Source organism: Homo sapiens, chromosome 15 (assembly GCF_000001405.40).
Source record: "Homo sapiens chromosome 15, GRCh38.p14 Primary Assembly".
Lineage (NCBI taxonomy): Eukaryota > Metazoa > Chordata > Mammalia > Primates > Hominidae > Homo > Homo sapiens.
Genome location: NC_000015.10, coordinates 77,061,440 through 77,082,552, shown reverse-complemented (window position 1 = coordinate 77,082,552; position 21,113 = coordinate 77,061,440). Strand labels below are relative to the sequence as shown.

The 21,113-nt window shown below is 43.1% G+C and overlaps 1 protein-coding gene across 3 annotated transcripts in view, besides 3 other annotated features; it reads left to right on the top strand.

The window, feature by feature from the left end:
* Nucleotides 11,078-11,137: an enhancer, noted in NCBI's record as "active region_9889". NCBI's record gives its function as "activates an Ori minimal core promoter by ATAC-STARR-seq in GM12878 lymphoblastoid cells {active_cell/tissue: GM12878}" and the evidence as "EXISTENCE:reporter gene assay evidence [ECO:0000049][PMID:35858748]".
* Nucleotides 11,278-11,977: a silencer, noted in NCBI's record as "silent region_6696". NCBI's record gives its function as "represses an Ori minimal core promoter by ATAC-STARR-seq in GM12878 lymphoblastoid cells {active_cell/tissue: GM12878}" and the evidence as "EXISTENCE:reporter gene assay evidence [ECO:0000049][PMID:35858748]".
* The window catches only part of TSPAN3 (tetraspanin 3), a 29,706-nt gene continuing 20,036 nt past the window's right edge, over nucleotides 11,444-21,113 (top strand). For all 3 annotated transcript variants that reach the window (NM_001168412.2, NM_198902.3, NM_005724.6), the window contains exon 1: nucleotides 11,444-11,661. In NM_001168412.2, coding sequence (NP_001161884.1) covers nucleotides 11,599-11,661 — 63 coding nt within the window. In that variant the 5' untranslated portion in view covers nucleotides 11,444-11,598. The remainder of the gene's footprint in view (nucleotides 11,662-21,113) is intronic.
* Nucleotides 14,599-14,688: a silencer, noted in NCBI's record as "silent region_6695". NCBI's record gives its function as "represses an Ori minimal core promoter by ATAC-STARR-seq in GM12878 lymphoblastoid cells {active_cell/tissue: GM12878}" and the evidence as "EXISTENCE:reporter gene assay evidence [ECO:0000049][PMID:35858748]".

Here is a 21,113-nt window from a genome sequence, read left to right as displayed (position 1 = left end):
TCTCTCTGGGAACCCTTGAGCCAAAAGGTCAATTCACTGGAAGCCAGCTGACCCCCCAAAGGGTGAGATGAGCCCCAGAGACTTCACGTAAGACAAAAGTGCAGCAGTATCCAGAGCTGCTTCTGGTCTGTCTCCTGGTGGGAAGAACTGAGTAGAGGAAGCTTCAACTGGTGTCTGCAGGAGTCAGGAGATGCCTGGCCTAGGGCTTGGTCATGGCAGGGATAAAAGCCCATCACTGTTATCTTCTACAAGGCCTGCTGGCCTAGGCAACTCCTCAGCTTCCCCCAACTCTTCCTGTGAAGTTCAGAAATGAGTTTCTCAACCAGCTCAAGTTGCTCAGCTTATTTTTCTCTCACCCAGCAATTGCTCCCCGACCCTGAGTTGGCAGCTGTGAAAACATAAACATTGTCAAAACCTCCCTTGCACCTCCCCCGTCTCTCCCTGTCCCCAGTACTGCTGGGCCCACCTCTGTTCCCTGCTCCCAAGGGTCCTCCCTCACCCATGGCCTCCATCCGGGCAGTACCCAGGAATGTGGGCCCAGGACAGGCAGCTTCCCTTTCCCTCGGCCCATCCGGGGCCATGGGGGAGGCACAGTTCAGCTCTCTCCCTGGGCTCTGGTGGACACACAGCATCTCAAGTAGCCCTATCTGGATTCCTAGACCCTGGTACAATCACTGGCAATTGGTGATGTGGGGAAGGGATCTCTACCCCCTGCCTCTGTCTCCAACCCAAACTTCAGGCTTCCCTGGCCCCTGGGCAGTGCCCTCACTCCCCTGCCTCTACTTGATCCCCAGTGCTCGGTGGATTTGTGCCCCACCTTGGCCATTAGGGCTCCCTGCGCCTCCCTCTTGGAATAACACTTCCTATCTACTCTTTTCTCCTTCTTCCACATTTCTTTTTCTTTTTCGAGATGGAGTCTTGCTCTGTTGCCCAGGCTGGAGTACAGTGGCACAATCTCAGCTCACTGGAACCTCCGTGTCCCAGGTTCTCCTGCCTCAAGCGATTCTCCTGCCTCAGCCTCCCAAGTAGCCAGGATTACAGGCACCCATCACCACGCCCAGAGATTTTTTTTTTTTTTTTTTGTATTTTTAGTAGAGACAGGGTTTCACCATGTTGGCCAGGCTGGTCTCGAACTCCTGACCTCAAGTGATCAGCCCACCTTGGCCTCAAGGTGTTGGGATTACAGGCATGAGCCAACATGCTTGGCTGGTCACCTCCTCTTTTAAGGGATCCCAAAGTGCCTTTCTTTTCTCTCCCTTCTCCCCTCAGGTTACAGGGCCATTCATTAAAGTCAGGTGGTCTTTCTACAGAAGAATTTTTGCTTTAGTAGGCAGTTCAACTGAGATGCTGTTGAAAGTGTCTATATCCCTGCAAGGAGGGATTTTTTTTTTTTTGACCGAGTCTCACTCTGTAGCCCAGGCTGGAATGCAGAAAAAGTATTTGATAGAATTCAACACTCATTCATGGTTTAAAAATAAAAAACTTCTTAGCAAACAAGTAATTCTTAAAAATAATCTTACAAAGGCATTGTAAAAGCCCTATAGCAAACATCACATTGAGTGGTGAAATATTGAATGTTTTCTTCTGATATTAGAAATAAATCAAGAAGACATGCTATCGCTACTTCCATTCAACATTGTGCTTGGATTTTACCAGTGCAATAGGGCAGGAAAAAAAATAAAAATCTTACGTCTTATGTATTGGAAAAAAAGAAATAAAGTTGCTATTATGCATAGGCAACATGATTATGTACATAGGATTTTTTTTTTAATCTACAGATAAAGCCTGGCACAGTGGCATGTGCTTGTAGTCCCAATGCTTGGGAGGCTGAGGCAGGAGGATTGCTTGAGCCCAGGAGCTCAAGGTTGCAGTGCACTACAATCATGCCTGTGAATAGTGTCCTCCAGCCTGGGCAACATAGTGAGACTCCATCTCTAAAAAAAAATTTTTTTAAATCTACATACAAACCCTTAAAATCAATAAAATTTAGCAAGGTTGCTGGATACCCTCTCTATATACAAAAAACAGTAGATTCTTTTTTTTTAATCTTTTTTTTTTTTTTTTTTTTTTTGAGACGGAGTCTTGCTCTGTCACCCAGGCTGGAGTGCAATGGCACAATCTCAGCTCACTGCAACCTCCTCCTCCTGGATTCAAGAGATTCTCCTGCCTCAGCCTCCTGAGTAGTTGGGATTACAGGCGCCCACCACCACACCCAGCTAATTTTTGTATTTTCAGTAGAGACAGGGTTTCACCATGTTGGTCAGGCTCATCTTGAACTCCTGACCTCAGGTGATCCACCCACCTCGGCCTCCCAAAATGCTGGGATTACAGGTGTGAGCCACCGTGCCCAGCCAAAAACAGTAGTATTTCTACTAATAGCTACAAACAATTAGAAAGTGAAATTCTAAAAATGAGACCATTTACAATAACATCAAAGCAAGACATATCTAGAAATAAATCTAATAAAAGATGTATAAAACTACATACTACATCACTGACAGAAATTAAAGAAGACCTAAATAAAGGGTGAGAGGGATATATCACATTCATGGATTGGAGGACTCAAGAATATTCATAGCAGCGCTACTCTAAATAGCCTGAAAACTGCAAACAATTGGCTGGGCATGGTGGCTCACGCCTGTAATCCCAGCACTTTGGGAGACCGAGGCGGAGTGGATCACCTGAGGTCGGGAGTTCGACACCAGCCTGGCCAACATGGTGAAACCCCTGTCTCTACTAAAAATACAAAATTAGCTGGGTGTGGTGGCACATGACTATAATCCCAGCTACTCAGGAGGCTGAGGCAGGAGGATCACTTGAACCCAGGAGATGGAGGTGGCGGTGAACTGAGATCGCACCATTGCACTCCAGCCTGGGCAACAAGAGCGAAACTCTGTCTCAAAAAACAAACAAACAAACATTGCAAATAATCCAAATGTCCCTCAACTATAGAATAAACAAATTCATTGTGCTATAATTATACAATTGAATATGAATATTCACAAGAAATGAATACACTTCTGCTTCATGCAACAACATACATGAATCCCGTAAATATGATGTGGAGTGAAAGATGCTAAACACAGAAGATCATGACTCTTTGTGATTCATTTATATGTAAAATTTTATTCATAAAAAGTTCAAAAGCAGATAAAACTGATCTGGTGTTAGGAATCAGGATAGTGGTGGTTCTTGCTGGGGAGTAACAACGGCAAGGGCCCAGGAGAGAAGGTTTCTGGGGTGCTGGCCACCCTCTATTTCTTCATCTGGGTGGTGGTTTCACAACTGCTCTCGCTTTGTAACAGTGAAGCCATGCATTTATGGTTTGTGTACTTTTCTGAGTGTATGTTTTAATTCAGTAAGAATTTTAATTAAAAAAAGTAGGGGCCGGGCGAGGTGGCTCATGCCTGTAATCCCAGCACTTTGGGAGGCCGAGGTCAGGAGATCGAGACCATCCTGGCTAACACGGTGAAACCCCGTCTCCACTAAAAATACAAAAAATTAGCAGGGCATGGTGGCCCACGCCTGTAGTCCCAGCTACTTGGGAGGCTGAGGCAGGAGAATCGCTTGAACCCGGGAGGCAGAGGTCGCAGTGAGCTAAGATGGTGCCACTGCACTCCAGCCTGGGTGACAGAGCAAGACTCCGTCTCAAAAAAAAAAAAAAAAAGTAGGAAGTGGCAAATTGTGACGCAAAGGACTTCTAAGGCTTCTCAAACTCAGTGACCTGGCTGCCGTCCGTGTCATGTGCTGCTGAGCAGTAGAGCTGAGTACTTTGTGTTTGTTTTATCGTGTAATCCTCTCGGATTAAATGCACTCTGTGAAATCGGTATTATTCTTTTTTTTTTTTTTTTTTTTTTTTGAGACGGAGTCTAGCTCTGTCGCCCAGGCTGGACTGCAGTGGCCTGATCTCGGCTCACTGCAAGCTCCGCCTCCCGGGTTCACGCCATTCTCCTCCCTCAGCCTCCCCAGTAGCTGGGACTACAGGCGCCCGTCACCACCAGCCCTGCTAATTTTTTTTTTTTTTTTTTTAGTAGAGACAGGGTTTCACCGTGTTAGCCAGGATGGTGTCGATTTCCTGACCTCGTGATCCGCCCGCTGCGGCCTCCCAAAATGCTGGGATTACAGGCGTGAGCCACTGCGCCCTGCCGAAATCGGTATTATTCTTATCACCACCCCCATTTTGAAGAAAACACAGCAGTCCTCTCTTATCTGCAGTCGCACTTTCCATGGTTTCAGAAACTCACGGTAAACTATGGGCTGAAAATGTTAATTGGAAAATTCCAGAAGTAAACAATACATTTTAAATTTTGCACCATTCAGAGTAGCATGATTAAATCTCTCGCCATCCTGCCCATGACATGAATCCTCCCTTTGTCCAGTGTACCCTCGCTGTATACACCACTCACCCATTGGTCACTCAGTAGCCCTCTTGGTAATTAGATGAAAAACACAGTAGACATAGGGCTCCGTACTGTCCTTGGCTTCAGGCACCCACTGGGGAGCTTGCAACTTACCCCTGAGGATAAGGGGGACTGCTATACTAGCATATATATATATATATTTATATATATATATTTATATATATAAATATATATATATAAATATATATATATATAAATATATATATATAATGTGTGTGTGTATATGTATATATGTATATATACACGTATATACATGTATACACATACACATATATGTATATATGTATATATACACATATACACATACACATATATGTATATATGTATATATACACATATACACATACACATATATATGTATATATACACATACACATACACGTATATATGTATATATACACATACACATACACGTATATATGTATATATACACATACACATACACGTATATATGTATATATACACATACACATACACGTATATATGTATATATACACATACACATACACGTATATATGTATATATACACATACACGTATATATGTATATATACACATACACATATATGTATATATGTATATATACACATACACATATGTATATATGTATATATACACATACACATATATGTATATATGTATATATACACATACACATATATGTATATATGTATATATACACATACACATATATGTATATATGTATATATACACATACACATATATGTATATATGTATATATACACATACACATATATGTATATATGTATATATACACATACACATATATGTATATATGTATATATACACATACACATATATGTATATATGTATATATACACATACACATATATGTATATATGTATATATACACGTATATACGTATACACATATATGTATATGTGTGTATATATATACACACACACACACACATATATAAATATATATATATATTTTTTGAGACAGAGGAGTTTCACTCATGTCACCCAGGCTGGAGTGCAGTGGCACCATCTCCACTCACTGCAACCTCCGCCTCCCAGGTTCAAGTGATTCTCCTGCCTCAGCCTCCCAAGTAGCTGGGATTATAGGCATGCACCACCATGCCTGGCTAATTTTTTGTATTTTTAGTAGAGACGGGATTTCACCATATTAGTCAGGCTGGTCTTGAACTCCTGACTTCAGGTGATCCACCCACCTTGGCCTCCCAAAGTGCTAGGATTACAGGGGTGAGCCACTGTGCCCATTCTATACTAGCAAATATTATTCCTCATTTTACAGATGAGGAAACTGAGGCCCAGAGAGTTTAAAGTAACTTGGCTAAGGTCACCTGAGGAGTAAGAACCAAGAGTGAAATCTCAGCAGTTGGTCCCAGGACCCATGCTCTTTGCCACCGCACTGACTCAGCCTGTCAGCTGTGTCTGTTCCACTCCTTTCCCAGTTCCTGGAAAAGTGTTTCCCAAGCTACATAATTCATCCTGCAATTCATGCGACATCTTTGCCATGTTTGATGACACGAAAAACAATAATGACTCCTATTGTATTCCAGCACTTGCCAATAAGAGACAGACTTTTAAAGAGCTTGGGACATGGTGCCAGGAAAATAGCTGAACCAAAGGTCTTCTGTATTTTGTCAGTAGAAGTGGAGTTGTGTGGGGTAGCACAATATGCATTTTCACTGCCAAGAAACTTGCATAATGATTTTCTGCCTCTTTAAAGGCCTGAATCTATTAAGGCTTTTTAATTGGTAAAGAGTAATACACGAAGCAAATGGAAGGTATTATCCATCCCCAGCATCTCTTTGTGTCATCTTTTCTCTAGGAACTGTTAAAATGTCTCAGTTCACTATGCATAAAAATTCGGAGTAATCAGTGTATTCTATAAAAATGCAGAGAAAAGTTTTAAGGAAATACACCAGATTATTAATAATAGTTATCTCTGGGTTGTTCTTGTTGTAGACTCAAATTTTCTATAATGGATATATGTCAACTTTGAATGCAGAAAGCACTTTTCCAATCAGGTTAAAATATATAAAGTTTTATAAAATCACATAACTACAATTATATTGAAACGTGTACATAGTAAAAGACTGGGAGAAACTGTTCATAGTTTTTTGTTTTTTGTTTTTTGTTTTCCTGGATGTAGAGAAATGAATATTTTTCTTTCTTCTACTTTTTGGAATTTTCCGATTTTTCTATAACAATCATTGTATTCGTCAGGATTCTTGATGAGAAATTACAGAAATAGACTCCAGCTACCTTGAGCAGGAAAGGATTTATTGTAAGAACATTAGGTAGTTCCAGCATCCTTCGGAATGCTGGAAGCTGTGGAAGGTTTAGTAGGAGGGATCTCAGCCAAGGTCAAACCACAGGGATGGTGTGGTTAGGCGGCTGCTGCCGGCACTGCCACCCCGGCACACACAGTCGGCGCTGCTGCCAGACTCAATGCCTGCACTGCCACCGTAAATACTCTCTTTTACTGTCCCTGTGTCTTTGCGTCACTCCCTGAAGGTCCAGATTTCTGGGCAGGATCATCTGACTTGCCAGTATCTATCACATGGCCATGTTCTAGCTGCCTGAGTGCAGGGAGAAAGACTGTCAGGCTCCAGTCTGGGTGCCCCCAAAATTCATACAATGGGGATCTTCCCAAACAGGCAGGGCGATCCAATGCAGGATAGCGCAAAAAAAGACAAATGGCCACAAGCAGGTATTGTTATTATTATTATTATTTGCAATGGCCCAAATCATACTACAGAGCAGATTTAAGAAAGGCACAAACCAGGCTGGGCACGGTGGCTCACGCCTGTAATCCTAGCACTTTGGGAGGCTGAGGCGGGCGGATCACGAGGTCAGGAGATCAAGACCATCTTGGCTAACACGGTGAAACCCCGTGTCTACTAAAAATACAAAAAATTAGCCGGGCATGGTGGCAGGTGCCTGTAGTCCCAGCTAATCGGGAGGCTGAGGCAGGAGAATGGCGTGAACCTGGGAAGCGGAGCTTGCAGTGAGCCAAGATCGTGCCACTGCACTCCAGCCTGGGCGAGAGAGTGAGACTCCGTCTCAAAAAAAAAAAAAAAAAAAAAATGGAAGGCACAAACCACCACAAGCAGGCATTGCTTTACAATGGAAAGAAAATGAATAAACCTTTTCTTTTTTGGTAAAAGATAGACTCTTTGTGTCATACAACATGGATCAGAGTGAATTTTACTTCACACAGTACGGGTTGAAGAACAGAGTTTATTAGGGCAAGTTACAGGCCAGGGGTCAGTAAGCGAAGTCACAATTGCTCCATCCTCCCATCATCCCCAGACAGGTGTGCCACTGTCAGATGCAGCAAGACAGAGTGGGTCTGTGCTTCCTTGGGAGGGACTTCATGCCCTCAGTTGCTCTCTTAGCAACTTTGTCAGTGGAGGTAAAATCAGACTTCCTGAGCACTGGGCAGTAGGAATTTGGAGTTCCAAGAGTTACCCAGGAAGGCTAATTTTCCAGTAAGAAGGATCCTCTCGGTGGGTAGAAGGGGTCAGTGAGGGAGACTGTGGGTCATAATATCCAAGTCTTGGCCCAGGGAAAAGGATGGGTGGACTATTCATGAAGCTAAGGAACACAGGTAGAGGAGAGGCAGGTTGAGGGGAAATTATGAGTTCAGTTTGGGACCTGCCGGGTCTGGCACACATATAAGTTAACCCCATACAAGGTTATGGTATGGTCCCTGTTATAAACTCTCACAGCAGCCTGAGGGTCTCCTTTGTATTGCTTATCCCAGTTGCAATTAGATAAATAATTTCATAATTAGCGTTGAATCTCCGCTCTGGATTGCAAGCTCCCTGGGGCCATCACACACCCAGGTCTAACCACTATGTTGCTAGAACCACCCCCCACCACGTGGCATAGGGTCAGGCACAGAGTAGGTAACCAATAAATGTGTTGAATCAATAAATGAATCCACCTGGAGCAACACAGCAGGCAGTCGGATTCATGGAAAGGAAATTGAGAGAAAGACCTGGGCTGAAGCTGTAGGTTCAGGAAAGTCCTGCACGTGGATAGCAACGGAATCCAGTGCTCTGGGTGAGCTGGCCCAGGTTGGTTGAGAAAATCAAAAGACCTAAGCCAGAACTCTGGGAGACACCAACATCCAATGGGTGCAAGGAACAGGTGCTGCTGCAAAGGCAGACAGTGAACTAAGAGATGATGGTGTTATGGAAGCTAAGGAAAGGCAGAGTTCTGAGTACGAAGAAGTCAACGGAGCCAAATATGGTTAGGTCTCGGAAACAGTAAACTCCGGTGATTACAAAGCACCTGTGTGCCAGGTACTTTTCTGACAGCTATATGTATATGAATGCACTTAATTCTCACAGCAATCACATGATAATTAGGGAAGTAATGTCATCATCATTTTCTCCCTATGATGGGGATACTGAGGCACAGAGAGAGGACCCAGCTAGGCTACCTGGTCCCCGAGCCTGTGCTCTTAACCATGATATATGCCACCTCAGAGAAGGGGTAGCAGATAAGTCACTGGTAACATTGACAAGAGCGATATCGGTGGCACTGTGGGGGTGATGCCACATGGCAGTGAGTCAAAAAGTGAGGCCAGGCACGATGGCTCACGCCTGTAATCCCAACACTTTGAGAGGCCAAGGCAGGTGGATCATGAGGTCAGGAGTTCAAGACCAGCCTGACCAACATGGTGAAACCCCGTCTCTACTAAAAATACAAAAATTAGCCAGGTGTGGTGGTGGACACCTGTAATTCCAGCTACTCAGGAGGCTGAAGCAGGAGAATCGCTTGAACCTGGGAGGCGGAGGTTGCAGTGAGCGGAGATTGCACCACTGCACTCCAGCCTGGGCGACAGAGCGAGACTACATCTCAACAACAAAAAAAAGTGAGTGGGAAGCAAAAGAGTCAAGGGCAGAAGTCCAGCCCCTTGCTACAAAGAGGGGCCCAGCTGCACCCCCACCACCTGGAGTCTGCATCCTCAGGTGATCTGTGCGCAAGGCAAAGTCTGAGAAGCACTGGATGAGATGACTCTTTTAGGAACTTTGGCTAAGAGAAGAAAGAAAAAGTAAAACATGGTGTTTAAGTGAGAGGCTTTTCTTTTTAGGATAGGAGAGGCATGACCATGCTTGTAAACTCAGAACTGTGGTTTGCAGCCCCAACAGCATATTCGAATCACCTGGTGTGTTTTTGAAAAACACCTGATTCCCTGAGGCTCGCCCCCAGAGAATCTGATGGAGTTTGTCTGTGTGGCCCAGATGATTGTAATGTGGGGGGGGGGGGGGTCTGAGACCCACTCAAGGAGAAGGCACAAGAAGGACTTGATGAGACCTTCACAGGGAAATGAGAAGGGACACGATGAGGATGAAGAAATGCAAAGGGGATGTTTTGGAAAAGGAGGAAAAGCACTCAGAGCAAAGCAGACAGAGAAATTTACAGAGGGCAGAGGCGTCAAGAAGATAGATGTTCAAAGGGAATCATGTTTGAGAGCCCATCATTTTTCTTTCTTTAACTAGGACCTCCATGGTATGGCAAGAATGGCACTTGAAACACTTAGATGGTGTTACTGGTCTGCTCAAAGGCTTCTGCCTGGCGTAGTAGGCTGTTGGTGATCCGGCCTCGCTCACCTCCAGCACACTAGGCTCTCTGTGTTCCCCTTCCTACAGCACAGTGATCATGTTCCGGTCTCTGGGCCTTTGTCCTTGCTGCTCTCATCTTTGGGCTGTTCCCCTCACCTCCCTTGGGTCCCCTCCAATGTTCTCTCCTCAGAGAGGACTCCTCTCATCACTCTATTCCTTTCCTCTGAATTGTTTCCTAACACTACCTCATGTCATATACCCACTTGCCCGTTTGTTTATGGTCTGCCTCCTCTGCCCGAACGAATGTAAGCCATGGAAGGAAGGATACGTCTTGCTCACAGTGGAATATCCACCACCGACAACAGTGAGGCCCAGAGGGGACACGCGGCAAGTTTGATGAGTGAATAAATGGCTGTTGCTGCTGCTTGGTGTAAATGCACAGGATGCTGAGATTAACAGGTACTTCTGAGAGTGCCTGGGAAAGGTGATGAGTGGGGGAGATTGCATGAGAGCGAGCTGATAAAGACCAGTAAATGGAAATCCTTACGGGCGCGGTCAAGGAGGGAGTGCAGGATTATAATGGCAGGAAAGACAGCAAACAGAGGCAGTTTATTGTGTGACTGATGATGTGTTTTTTGCACTAGACCACTTACTATGTGTGGCTCTGGGCGAACTTCTTAACCTTTCTAAGCCTCAATTACCCGATCAGTAAAATGAGGCTGATAACCATAGTGCCTTCCATCCAGGGTTGTGGTGGGGGTTAAATGAACTAATGGAGCCTGGCACCGGGTGAGCACCCAATAATTAATTGCTATGACGGATTCAAGATTGGGGGAAGAATGTGAAATGTTGCAATGCAAAGAGATGTTTCTGTAATCGTTGCGAATCTTGGTCCAAAACTTACTACCCTGGAATAGAACTTGTTCCCAACCACTCACCCACACAAACATGTCTCTGCCTTGCTAACGCCATCACCAGCCTTTTCTCCTCTCTGACTCTTCTGAGGTCTAGCCCAGCGCCTGGTACAATAAGTTTCTCCATAAGTATTTGTTGTTTTTCTTTGCACTTCTCACCAACAGTGCTGCCAAGATTTTAACCTGGTCAGGAGAATCTGGTCAGGCAGAGATTAGTGTCTCCAACCTTCCTAGGGGAGAATGGGCTAGGTAGAAAGATAGCACTCAGAGGGCTCTGAATCATCTATAAGGGTGGCATAGTCATAGGAGGAGAGTGGGTTTGGTCCACCAGAACCTCCCTAGGGAGCCATCTGCGTCCAAGGGCGGCCAGAGGCCAAGAAAAGGCGCTGAGGCCTTGGCTCCTTTAAGAGGCGTGGCCTCACTGCAGCCTCCGCAGAGGCGATTGGCTGAAGCTACCGGCCGCGTGGGGCGGGACTCGGTTGCCAGGGAGCGGCGCGGGAGCCCTGAGGGGACTGCGGCGGCTGCGCGGAGGAGCGAGGCACTTGCTGGGGTCGGGGCTGCGCGACGGCGCAGGGGCTGCGGGGAGCGCCGCGCAGGCCGTGCAGTTCCTAGCGAGGAGGCGCCGCCGCCATTGCCGCTCTCTCGGTGAGCGCAGCCCCGCTCTCCGGGCCGGGCCTTCGCGGGCCACCGGCGCCATGGGCCAGTGCGGCATCACCTCCTCCAAGACCGTGCTGGTCTTTCTCAACCTCATCTTCTGGGTGAGCGGGGCCGGGCAGAGCGAGGGGCCGGCGGCGGGGCCGGGCGAGGCCGCGGCGGAGGCGCCCGTGGGGGCCGGGCTTGGGCCTGGGCGGGCGCGCGGGGGCCGCGCGCGGGCCCTCAGGCGGCTGAGGCGAGGGGAGGGCCGGGTGTGAGGCCGCTTCGCGAGGTCCCTGCCGGACCAAGCCGGGAGCCTGGGCGCGGAGGACAGCGAGGGGAGGCCTTCAGGGACTCCACGGCCTCCAGCCGGCGCCTCCGCGCTCGGCCCACGCGGGCTGGCTCCGTGCCAGGCGCCCCAGTCTCCCCCCCCCGGAGTCGCCGGCTGGACGGAGAGCGCTTATTGCAGACTGTAGCAGGACGTCGGGCTCGAAATAGGATCTTCGCCAGAGGCTCAGGTTCCGCGCTCTTTGTCGGGGCCTCGCAGACGAGTGGCCGTCCCGAGGCGGGCAGATCCGCGGGGACGCTGCGGAGCCGGGGCGGGGGTTCCACTTAACGCCCTTTGTGTGTGGAGAACCGGCTGACTGTCACCAGCCCAGAAAATGAAGGGTTTCAACTCGAGGAGCCAAATAATCCATTGACCAAGAACATCGGTCTATTTGTTTTGGTCATGGGGGTGACCAAACTGTGAGATTATAACTCTTGGTTAAATATATGATGGAGATGTCACAAGATTTTGAAAGTGATGAGTTCACTTTCAATAAAAGGTGGCTTATGAATTTTTAAGGGGTACACCCTCTTTGAAAGGAATGTTTATGTCATCTTAGTTTGGGTCCTTATCTCATCAGGGACTTTTATAGTAACCTAAGTTGTTCCTATCCGTCTCTCCACCCTCCAGCCCATCTGGACTTTGCACCCGGATAAATCTTTTAAAACGTTTCCTCTATCACATCACTTGATCTGAAAATAAGGAAAACAGAAGCTTCAGCGGTAGAATAAGGTTCAACTCCTTCCCCTGGTCTTGGAGCAGAAGTCCTCAGTCTGGTCCCAAATCACCTTGCCTCTCTGAACTTGTCATTTCCTTAAACACTTGAGTGCCCTGGACAGATTGCTCTGTCCACAGTCGCCAGAGCACTCCTTGAACATTCCGGTTAACCATACTGTGCCTCTTCCTCCTCCCCATTCAGCTCCTCCCTCCCACGCATACGCACACCTGTTCTGGAAAGAATCCTTTCCTCCTCCCCCGACCCCCCAACAAGGGATAAAACTTCATATCCTGACAGCTGTCTCATAAAAGGATGGTTATATGTTAAAAAGCACTTGCTACACACTTGTATTGCCAGAGTCCTTCGGGGCGTTTGTGTGTGAAGAGTCCTAACTGGGAGGTAGTAGCTGTTGGCAAACACCCAGGCGACATTGGCATTTCCGTGATTTCTTCTTTTCCAATTAGAGCAGTGTTTCTTATACTTTAATTTGAGTTACAGGCTTATTTATTTATTTTATTTTATTTTTTCAGTTTCTTGAGTTTATTGTGAAGAATGAAATGCACATATAGAACCAGTTCCATTAGCAAAAGTCGTATCAGTCTTCTCTTTGTAGATGTGGCATGATTTGTGAATCTGACCATTATAAGGGCATCTTTTGCTAATTTAATACGTATCTATATACCTACTGCTACTTATGCATCCATAACATTTTTTATTCCATAAAGAGAAATGTATTCTACAATGATTAAGTCATTAATTCTCATAGCATCTCGTTATAAACCAGGAGTCAGCAATCTCTGGCCCAAGAGCACAAAACGGTTAGCTACCTGTTTTTCTACAACCTGAGAGCCCAGAATAATATTTACATTTCTAAATGACTGGAAAACAAATGAAAAGAAGAATACTATTTCTTGGCATGTAGAAATTATATGACGTTCTCCTACCATTCGACCCAGCAATCCCACTACTGGGTACATACCCAAAGGAATATAAATCATTCTGTTATAAAGACACTTGCACGCATATATTCACTGCAGCACCGTTCACAATAGCAAAAACATGGAACCAACCCAAATGGCCATCAGTGGTAGACTGGACAAAGAAAATGCGGCACATATACACCATGGAACACCACGCAGCCACAAAAAAGAATGAGATCATGTCCTTTACAGGGACATGGATGGAGCAGGAAGCCATCATCCTCAACAAACTGATGCAGGAACAGAAAACCAAGCACCGTGTGTTCTCACTTATTTTTTATTTATCTTTTTTAAGAGTTACAGGCTTTTTTAAAAGGAAAAATAATTTTCAGGGGTCCCCAAATGAGAAACACGTTGTCAGCTAGTAAGCTACCTAAGAGGTAAAGATGTGGCTTTGTACTCTTTACAGTTCCTTGTGAATTTATGGCCATAACTATTTGATTTTGAAGAATATTAGGTGAATTCTAGGTTATTCAAGCTCAGGGACTGGAATTGTTCATGTAACAAAATATTGGAAATACAGTAACCATTTTCTTTAAATTAGATTTTTATTTACTCTAAAATATCAGTTCTAAGTGACTCCTCTGAATCTTTGGATATTGTGTAAATATATGTACTGTTATTCCAGTGAAGAAAGTTATTTTGAACTTCAGTGGTGCTTTTCATAGCGGGTTATTGCCAAGACTGAAGTGGTAATGTTTAGTAAAAATATGCTTTATCTTGGTTAGTAGGGTAGTAAAGTTTTTGTGAGCTGTGATAAGGAAGTTAAGCAGATACGCTGGGGGCAAATGTGTCACAGTGCAATGTAGCTAATGAGGAAACAGCATTAGGTATGTCTCCCAAGAAAGTATTAGTTTGTGGACTAACTGTGGGAATCTGATGATGATGGGTAATGGCAACTAACATTTGAGTTACTATACCCCAGGCACTGTGCTAAACACTTTACATGGCATATCCTCACAGCTTTCCCATCTAGCAGGGAATATTAGGTACATTTTAGAGGAGAACATTAAGGTTGACTGAGCCAAAGTAGCACACCCAAGGTGTGATACAGCCTGCGTTCAAACCCAGGTTGTCCCATACTCTAGAGACTGTGATGTTAGGACAAAGTGTGATTTCAGAAGATTTGTAAAGAGAAGAAAGTTGTTAGAATCACTTCTCTAAAGCATGCTGATTTTGAGATTGCTAAAATTAGAAACTGTACCAGAATTTACATGACACTTTGTTTGGTTTTGAATTAAGTCATTATGAGGAAGTACATTAAAAAATGTTAAAAGGTTCTTCCTGGGAATTTGTAATGCATTCTTCAGTTCTAATAAATGTATTCTTATATGCTGGCCCCTCCCTCCTTTTAATGCCTTGAGATGATGAATAAGTGGAAGAATAAACATACTCTCCATAGAGCTTATCAAATGTTTACCTAGGTTCCCTTGGGCAACTGTAGGCAATAAAAACTATGTTGCATTGGCTCTTCACTGTCAGATGGTAATGGCTGATTGTTAACAAGGGTCAAAGTTTAATTGCTTTGGCAAGACCTTTAAACTACACTTTCTTATGTCTTGATATCCTGATTCTGCTGGCATTTTGTTCATTGAACTGTGACATGGAGATAGATATATACCTGAAATACTCAGGCTGTAAATTATCTGACAGCTAAAATCGTTACTGTTGATTTGGTGTAGATAGTTTGGAACAATGCTGTAATAATGTTACTGTGGAAAGGCACAAACCAAAAGCAGAAACAATCATTTCTAAAATCCTGAAATTTGTCTTAATGGAAATAGGGAACTCCTGCTATGGTTAGAATGTTTGTCCTTTATAAAACTCATGTTGAAACTGAATCCCCAATGTGGCCGTATTGAGAGATGGGGCCTTTAAGAGGTGATTGGGTCATGAGGGCTCTACCCTCATGAATGGATTAATCCATTCATGGATTAATGGATTAATGGGTTTTCATGGGAATGGGACTGGTGGCTTTATAAGAAGAGGCAGAGAGACGTGAGCCAGCATACTCAGCCCCCTCACCACGTGTGATGTCCTGGGCCACCTCAGGACTTTGCAGAAGGCCCTGACCAGCTACGGCCCCTTGACCTTGAACTTCTCAGCCTCCATGTATGTAAAAAAATTTCTTAAATTACCCAGTTTCAGGTATTCTGTTCTAAGCAACAGAAAACAGACTAAGACAGTTTCTCACCAAATTCTAGAATATTAAGATTTGTAGCTTGAAAGATAATCTTGGACAAGTGAAAGGATGTACAGCTTGGATCATCTTGGATCTCTGTTTTTATGGAATGATGAGGCTTTAAATATAAGTGTATTCATGCTGGACCCATGAGGATTTATTGAAGAAGGTTAGAAGTGTTTTAGGTAAATGACTAAATTTTAAAGGCTTTTTTTTTTTTTTTTTTTTTTTTTTTTTGAGACGAAGTCTTACTCTGTCGCCCAGGCTGGAGTGCAGTGGTGCGATCTTGGCTGACTGCAGCCTCTGTCTCCCGGGTTCAAGCGATCTTCCTGCCTCAGCCTCCCGAGTAGCTGGGACTACAGGCGTGCGCCACCATGCCCAGCTAATTTTCGTATTTTTTTAACAGAGACAGGGTTTCACCATATTGGCCAGGCTGGTCTCGAACTCCTGACCTCTTGATCCATCTGCCTTGGTCTCCCAAAGTGCTAGGATTACAGGCGTGAGCCACCGCGCCCAGCAAAGGCTATTGTATTAAATAGGCATTAGCCTATTCTGTAAACTGCACCTTTGTACCAAGGTCAGACAGGATTTTTAGTTTGGTAAGTCATTTAATCTGACCAAAGAGGGCTCGTCTAAAACAAGTTTAAATCAGTACTTCCTACCATTAAGTTTTTATTCCGGTAAATTAATTGATTATTTAATCAAGTCCTATGTTATACAAATTACCTTTACTTTTTTTTTAAACCCTATTAGAAAAACTAATTGGCTAATACTTATTTTGCTCATATTTATCTTAGGCATTACAGGGACTGGAACAGAAAGCTTTGTCCATGCTTATAGAATTTATAATCTTAAATATCTATTTAGGTTGTTGTTTTTCATCTGAGAGGTGATAGTATAAAACTGAGACACCTGTAGAGTGGGGGAAGTACCGCAAAAAAGTCAAACGCCTTTTAAATAAATGCCTTTAGAAATAGCTTTGGAACGTGGCACCTTCACTAACCATCATTCATTCATATGAAATACTTCACACATATAAATTGTAGTTGAAAGCCATATGTAACCTTTAAAACTTATCCTGCCTTTAAAAATAAAACTTATCAGCCAGGTGCGGTGGCTCATGCCTGTAATCCCAGCACTTTGGGACGCCAAGGGTGGCAGATCACCCTCCTGACTAACACGGTGAAACCCCGTCTCTACTAAAAATACAAAAAATTAGCCAGATGTGGTGGTGGGCACTTGTAGTCCCAGCTACTCGGGAGGCTGAGGCAGGAGCATGGCGTGAACCCGGGAGGCGGAGCTTGTAGTGAGCGGCGATCGAGCCACTGCACTCCAGCCTGGGCGACAGAGCGAGACTCCATCTCAAAATAAATAAATAAATAAAACTTATCACGCTTATGTCTGTGAATGTATATAATTAAGGAAAATTTGCTTTGTTAAATATAACACTACTATTTGAGCACCTACTTTGTGCTTATATTGTTGATAAATGATGAAAAGACAGTGAAAAATCCCTATTCTTACAGAACTTACTTTCCGGTGAAGCAAGACACACAAAAATAAACAAGAAAAATGATCAGAGTGATGTGTTATGCAGAGAATTAAAGGGTGATGTGATAAAGTGATTGGGTCGTGCTTTATGTTGGCAAAAAAAATCTGGAGTATAAGAAGTTGCTGACTTGGGTGATTTGGAAGAGATTGGGAGACTGGGGGGATTCAGAACTGAAGGAACAGGCTGTAGGCTGTAAGGCAAAAATATACTTGCTATGTTCAAATTACTAAGAGGTTTATACCGTCATGCTTTTGTTTAAAAAATAAAACTTTATAATGAGGTATTTCAAGTGTGGTTCTCCCTTGTCACAAATCTTGTACATACTTTGTGTTTTCCAGCACATCCTACACATTCGAGGTGGTAATATGATACTTTTAAACCGGAACCTGCATCTGATATCCTGGAATTTGTTTCTCTACTTCCTGTATTTCTCCTATCATGAATGACTGCTCTGACAAAGAATATGTCATGGGACACACCTTCAGCTAACTTTGCTTTTTCATGCTTGTTTTCAATTCACTAGAAGAAAATCTAACTTGTCAGGAAGCAAGTACATAATAGGAAGTGTCTGTCTTAGTTTGTCTTCAACAGTTAAGAAAATGAATGTTTCCACTCTTACTACATTCTTAGTCACCTGTCCACTGACCAAGAGCCTTGTGGCCCTGAGTAATCATTTAGAACTTGGAATCAGCAGGGGCGCTCTCTCTAGTTGCAGTTTAGGGAATGGGTTATTAGCTTTCTAGGATATTTATCATGCTTTGAAATAATTTAATGAATTTTATTCCATAAGATCCAATTCAGGTTAGGCTTGTTTGATTTTTTTTTTCAGAAAATGTATTCCATAAAGTTTGTACTTAGACCAGACGGGTGTACTAAGAATCATTCATGAGTAAATGTGTGTTGAATATCTACCCTTGACCTTTTTTTGAGAAATAGAGTAAACACAGTCCCTGTAGTCTGACAGCTAATGGGGAGAGAGGGTAGACTTTTCATCGAATTAAATTTCTACATGCACCTTTCCCCCAGAAATCTTACTCATGGCTGGTCTCAAGTAAGTCTTTATTGAAAAATATTGACATATCTTCTTCCTCTTCCTTCTCCTCACTGTCTTCCTTTTAGTAGTTAGGCAGAGTTAATAGGTAAGAAAAATTATCTGCATTTATGTGTAGTTTGTAATCTACTAAAGGGGTTCTAGAATAAATGTTGACATTTTGTAACTTACATTGTTGTTGCTACTGATTAAACACATAACCCAAGTGTGGATGAACTCTAGCATTACAAAGCTTAAGCACCTCAGGCTCCTATGATGTTGTAATGGACTCTTTTTACAATTAGAGTAGGGTGGGGTAACAGAGGGTCTCAAAGAAAATGCATATTTAAATTTCAGGCTTCTCAGATAACCTCTGGAGCCCTACTGTCTGGAAACAGCCAGTTTCCATGCTGTTACAATAATTTGGCAATGGCAATTGGTTAATCTCCAGTTTCTTTGCCACCTGAAATTTTGAGTTGTTCAGCCAGTAGATATTGGATTAAATAGAACAACTTTGTTAAGCTGGTTTAATAATGATTATGAAAAACCAAATAGAGAAAAGGTGAAAATAAGGCAGAATTGAGGAGCATGACCTTTGGCATATCATCAGAGTAATAGCAGTAAAAAGGATTAAAATATTTCTAATTTAAGAATAATGGCAATAATAATAGTGATGTTGATGGCAAAAGTGGCTTGTCAGAACTTTAAACTCTTAGCCAGGCTTGGTGGCACATGCCTGTAATCCTAGCTACAAGTAAGACTGAGATGAGAGGATCCCCTGAGGGAAGGAGTCTGAGGCCAGCCTGGGCAACATAGCAAGACCCTGTCTTAAAAAAAAAAAATAGAATTTTCTCATTAGTATAGTGGTGAGTTAAAAAAACACACATAAAACTTTACACCCCAATTTAAGTAGGACTTTAAAAAAAACTTGTCTCCTTGAAAAGTAATATTTATGAGAAAAGGAACATAATGTACATTGAAAGAATTGTGTTAGATAATCAGAAAACATGTACAGGATGAGTCAAAGCCACACAGACCTGAGAAAAGTGGTAAGTGGGAGAGATTGGCAGAGGTGCCTAAAATATTTAGGATGGAAGAGGTGTCTGTTTTTGGTTGGTTAAGGACACATCCAGGAATGAATTCATTGGTGAGAGAACATTAAAGCCTCAATTTCAGACATAATTTTAACTATTATTCTAATTATGCAAGTAATATATTTTAAAGAAGACACTAAAAGTATTTTAAAAAGCAAACTGGTATCACCCATAATTCTACCACCCAGAGACAACCAATATCAACATTTTGGTTTGTTTCCAATATGTGATATATGTGTTTTTTCCCCTATCACACCACAAGCATATTATTAAATGATGCTTTAAGAAAATATTTCAGGGCTGAATGCAGACACACCTCTGAATACCAGGGCTTTTTCATTTTCATTTTTGCAGCCACAATTTCATTACAACATCTCGATGAATTACCTTTTACACAAATCTGTGTTTCTGACTAACTTTCTAAAGGATAGATTCCTGGAAGTGGAATAAGTAGGTATAAAGGCATCAATGCTGAGGCAGATATGTATTGCCAGATTGTTTCCAAAAAAATGATTCTCTATTAGTTTGTGCTTCCGCCCATCTGAGGGCCCTTCTCTCTGCACCCTCACACATCTTTGAATACTCCTTAACTTTATTGCTGATCAGTTTGTTAGGTAGAAAATGATAGTATTTAATAGCTTCAGAAATTCTTGGTAAGAGTAGCTTTAATTTCTGAAAGAGGATTTGGAGTCTTTGGAATGGCCTTTTTTCCTTGAGAGTTGGTAGGAGAGTAAATGATATATTCAGGTAGTGGACTTACATAAGAAGTAGTTGTGTTTAGTGACGTAAACTGTTCTATCAGATTAAGTCAGAGGTGAAAGCATGGTTGAATTAGAGAATATACATTATGGCAAGTAGAATGCTAAACGATTTAAGATGATTTTAAGACACTTGTAATGGCATAAGGGTGAAGTTTGGGGAAGCTTTCAGAAATCCACTGTGTGGAATTACCAACGATTCTTCCCAGGAGAGAAAAGAGGTATATGAAAAATAATATGACAGTACAGGAAACTCTGGATTTAATGTTAAAAAGATATATGCATAAGATGGATTCCTGCCTATTTTTTCCCTCTGCTTTTAAAACCTGCTTTCTTACAAAGTCTAGAGTACAGCATTTTTTGCTCAGTCTTTTACTTCTTGACTTTTTTCCTTTCTCTCAACACTCCAGTCACTTCTACTTTACTAATTGATTCTTTGGCAAAAATCACTCCGAAGGGAGCAGTTCACACAGGCAAGCAAGAATTTGTCAGGCACTGTGCTTTTAGGTGAATAAAGTCCAGATGGTGCCTTGTCTTTACATTGTTTTGATTCTTGCCAGTTCTAGATGGGAATCATCATCAATGGCTACTACATACCACTGCAAGAAAATCACTTCTATTCTTTGCTTCAGCTTCGCCCAAAATGTCCTGTGGGATGCTTTCGCCTTTGTATTTCTAAATCTCCATGTAGGTATACTTTTGGCAACAGAGCTACTTTATCTCCCCACTTGTAGCAAATCTGTTTCATTTTTAATATTGCCACATTCCAATGGCAGGTTACACCGTGGTTGATGAAAAGGAATTTAATAGTTTTACAGATTTTAACTTTTTTTTTTTTAATTTTTTGAGACTGAGTTTTGCTCTTGTTGCCCAGGCTGGAGTGCAGTGGCGCAATCTCGGCTCACTGCAACCTCTGCCTTCCAGGTTCAAGCGAT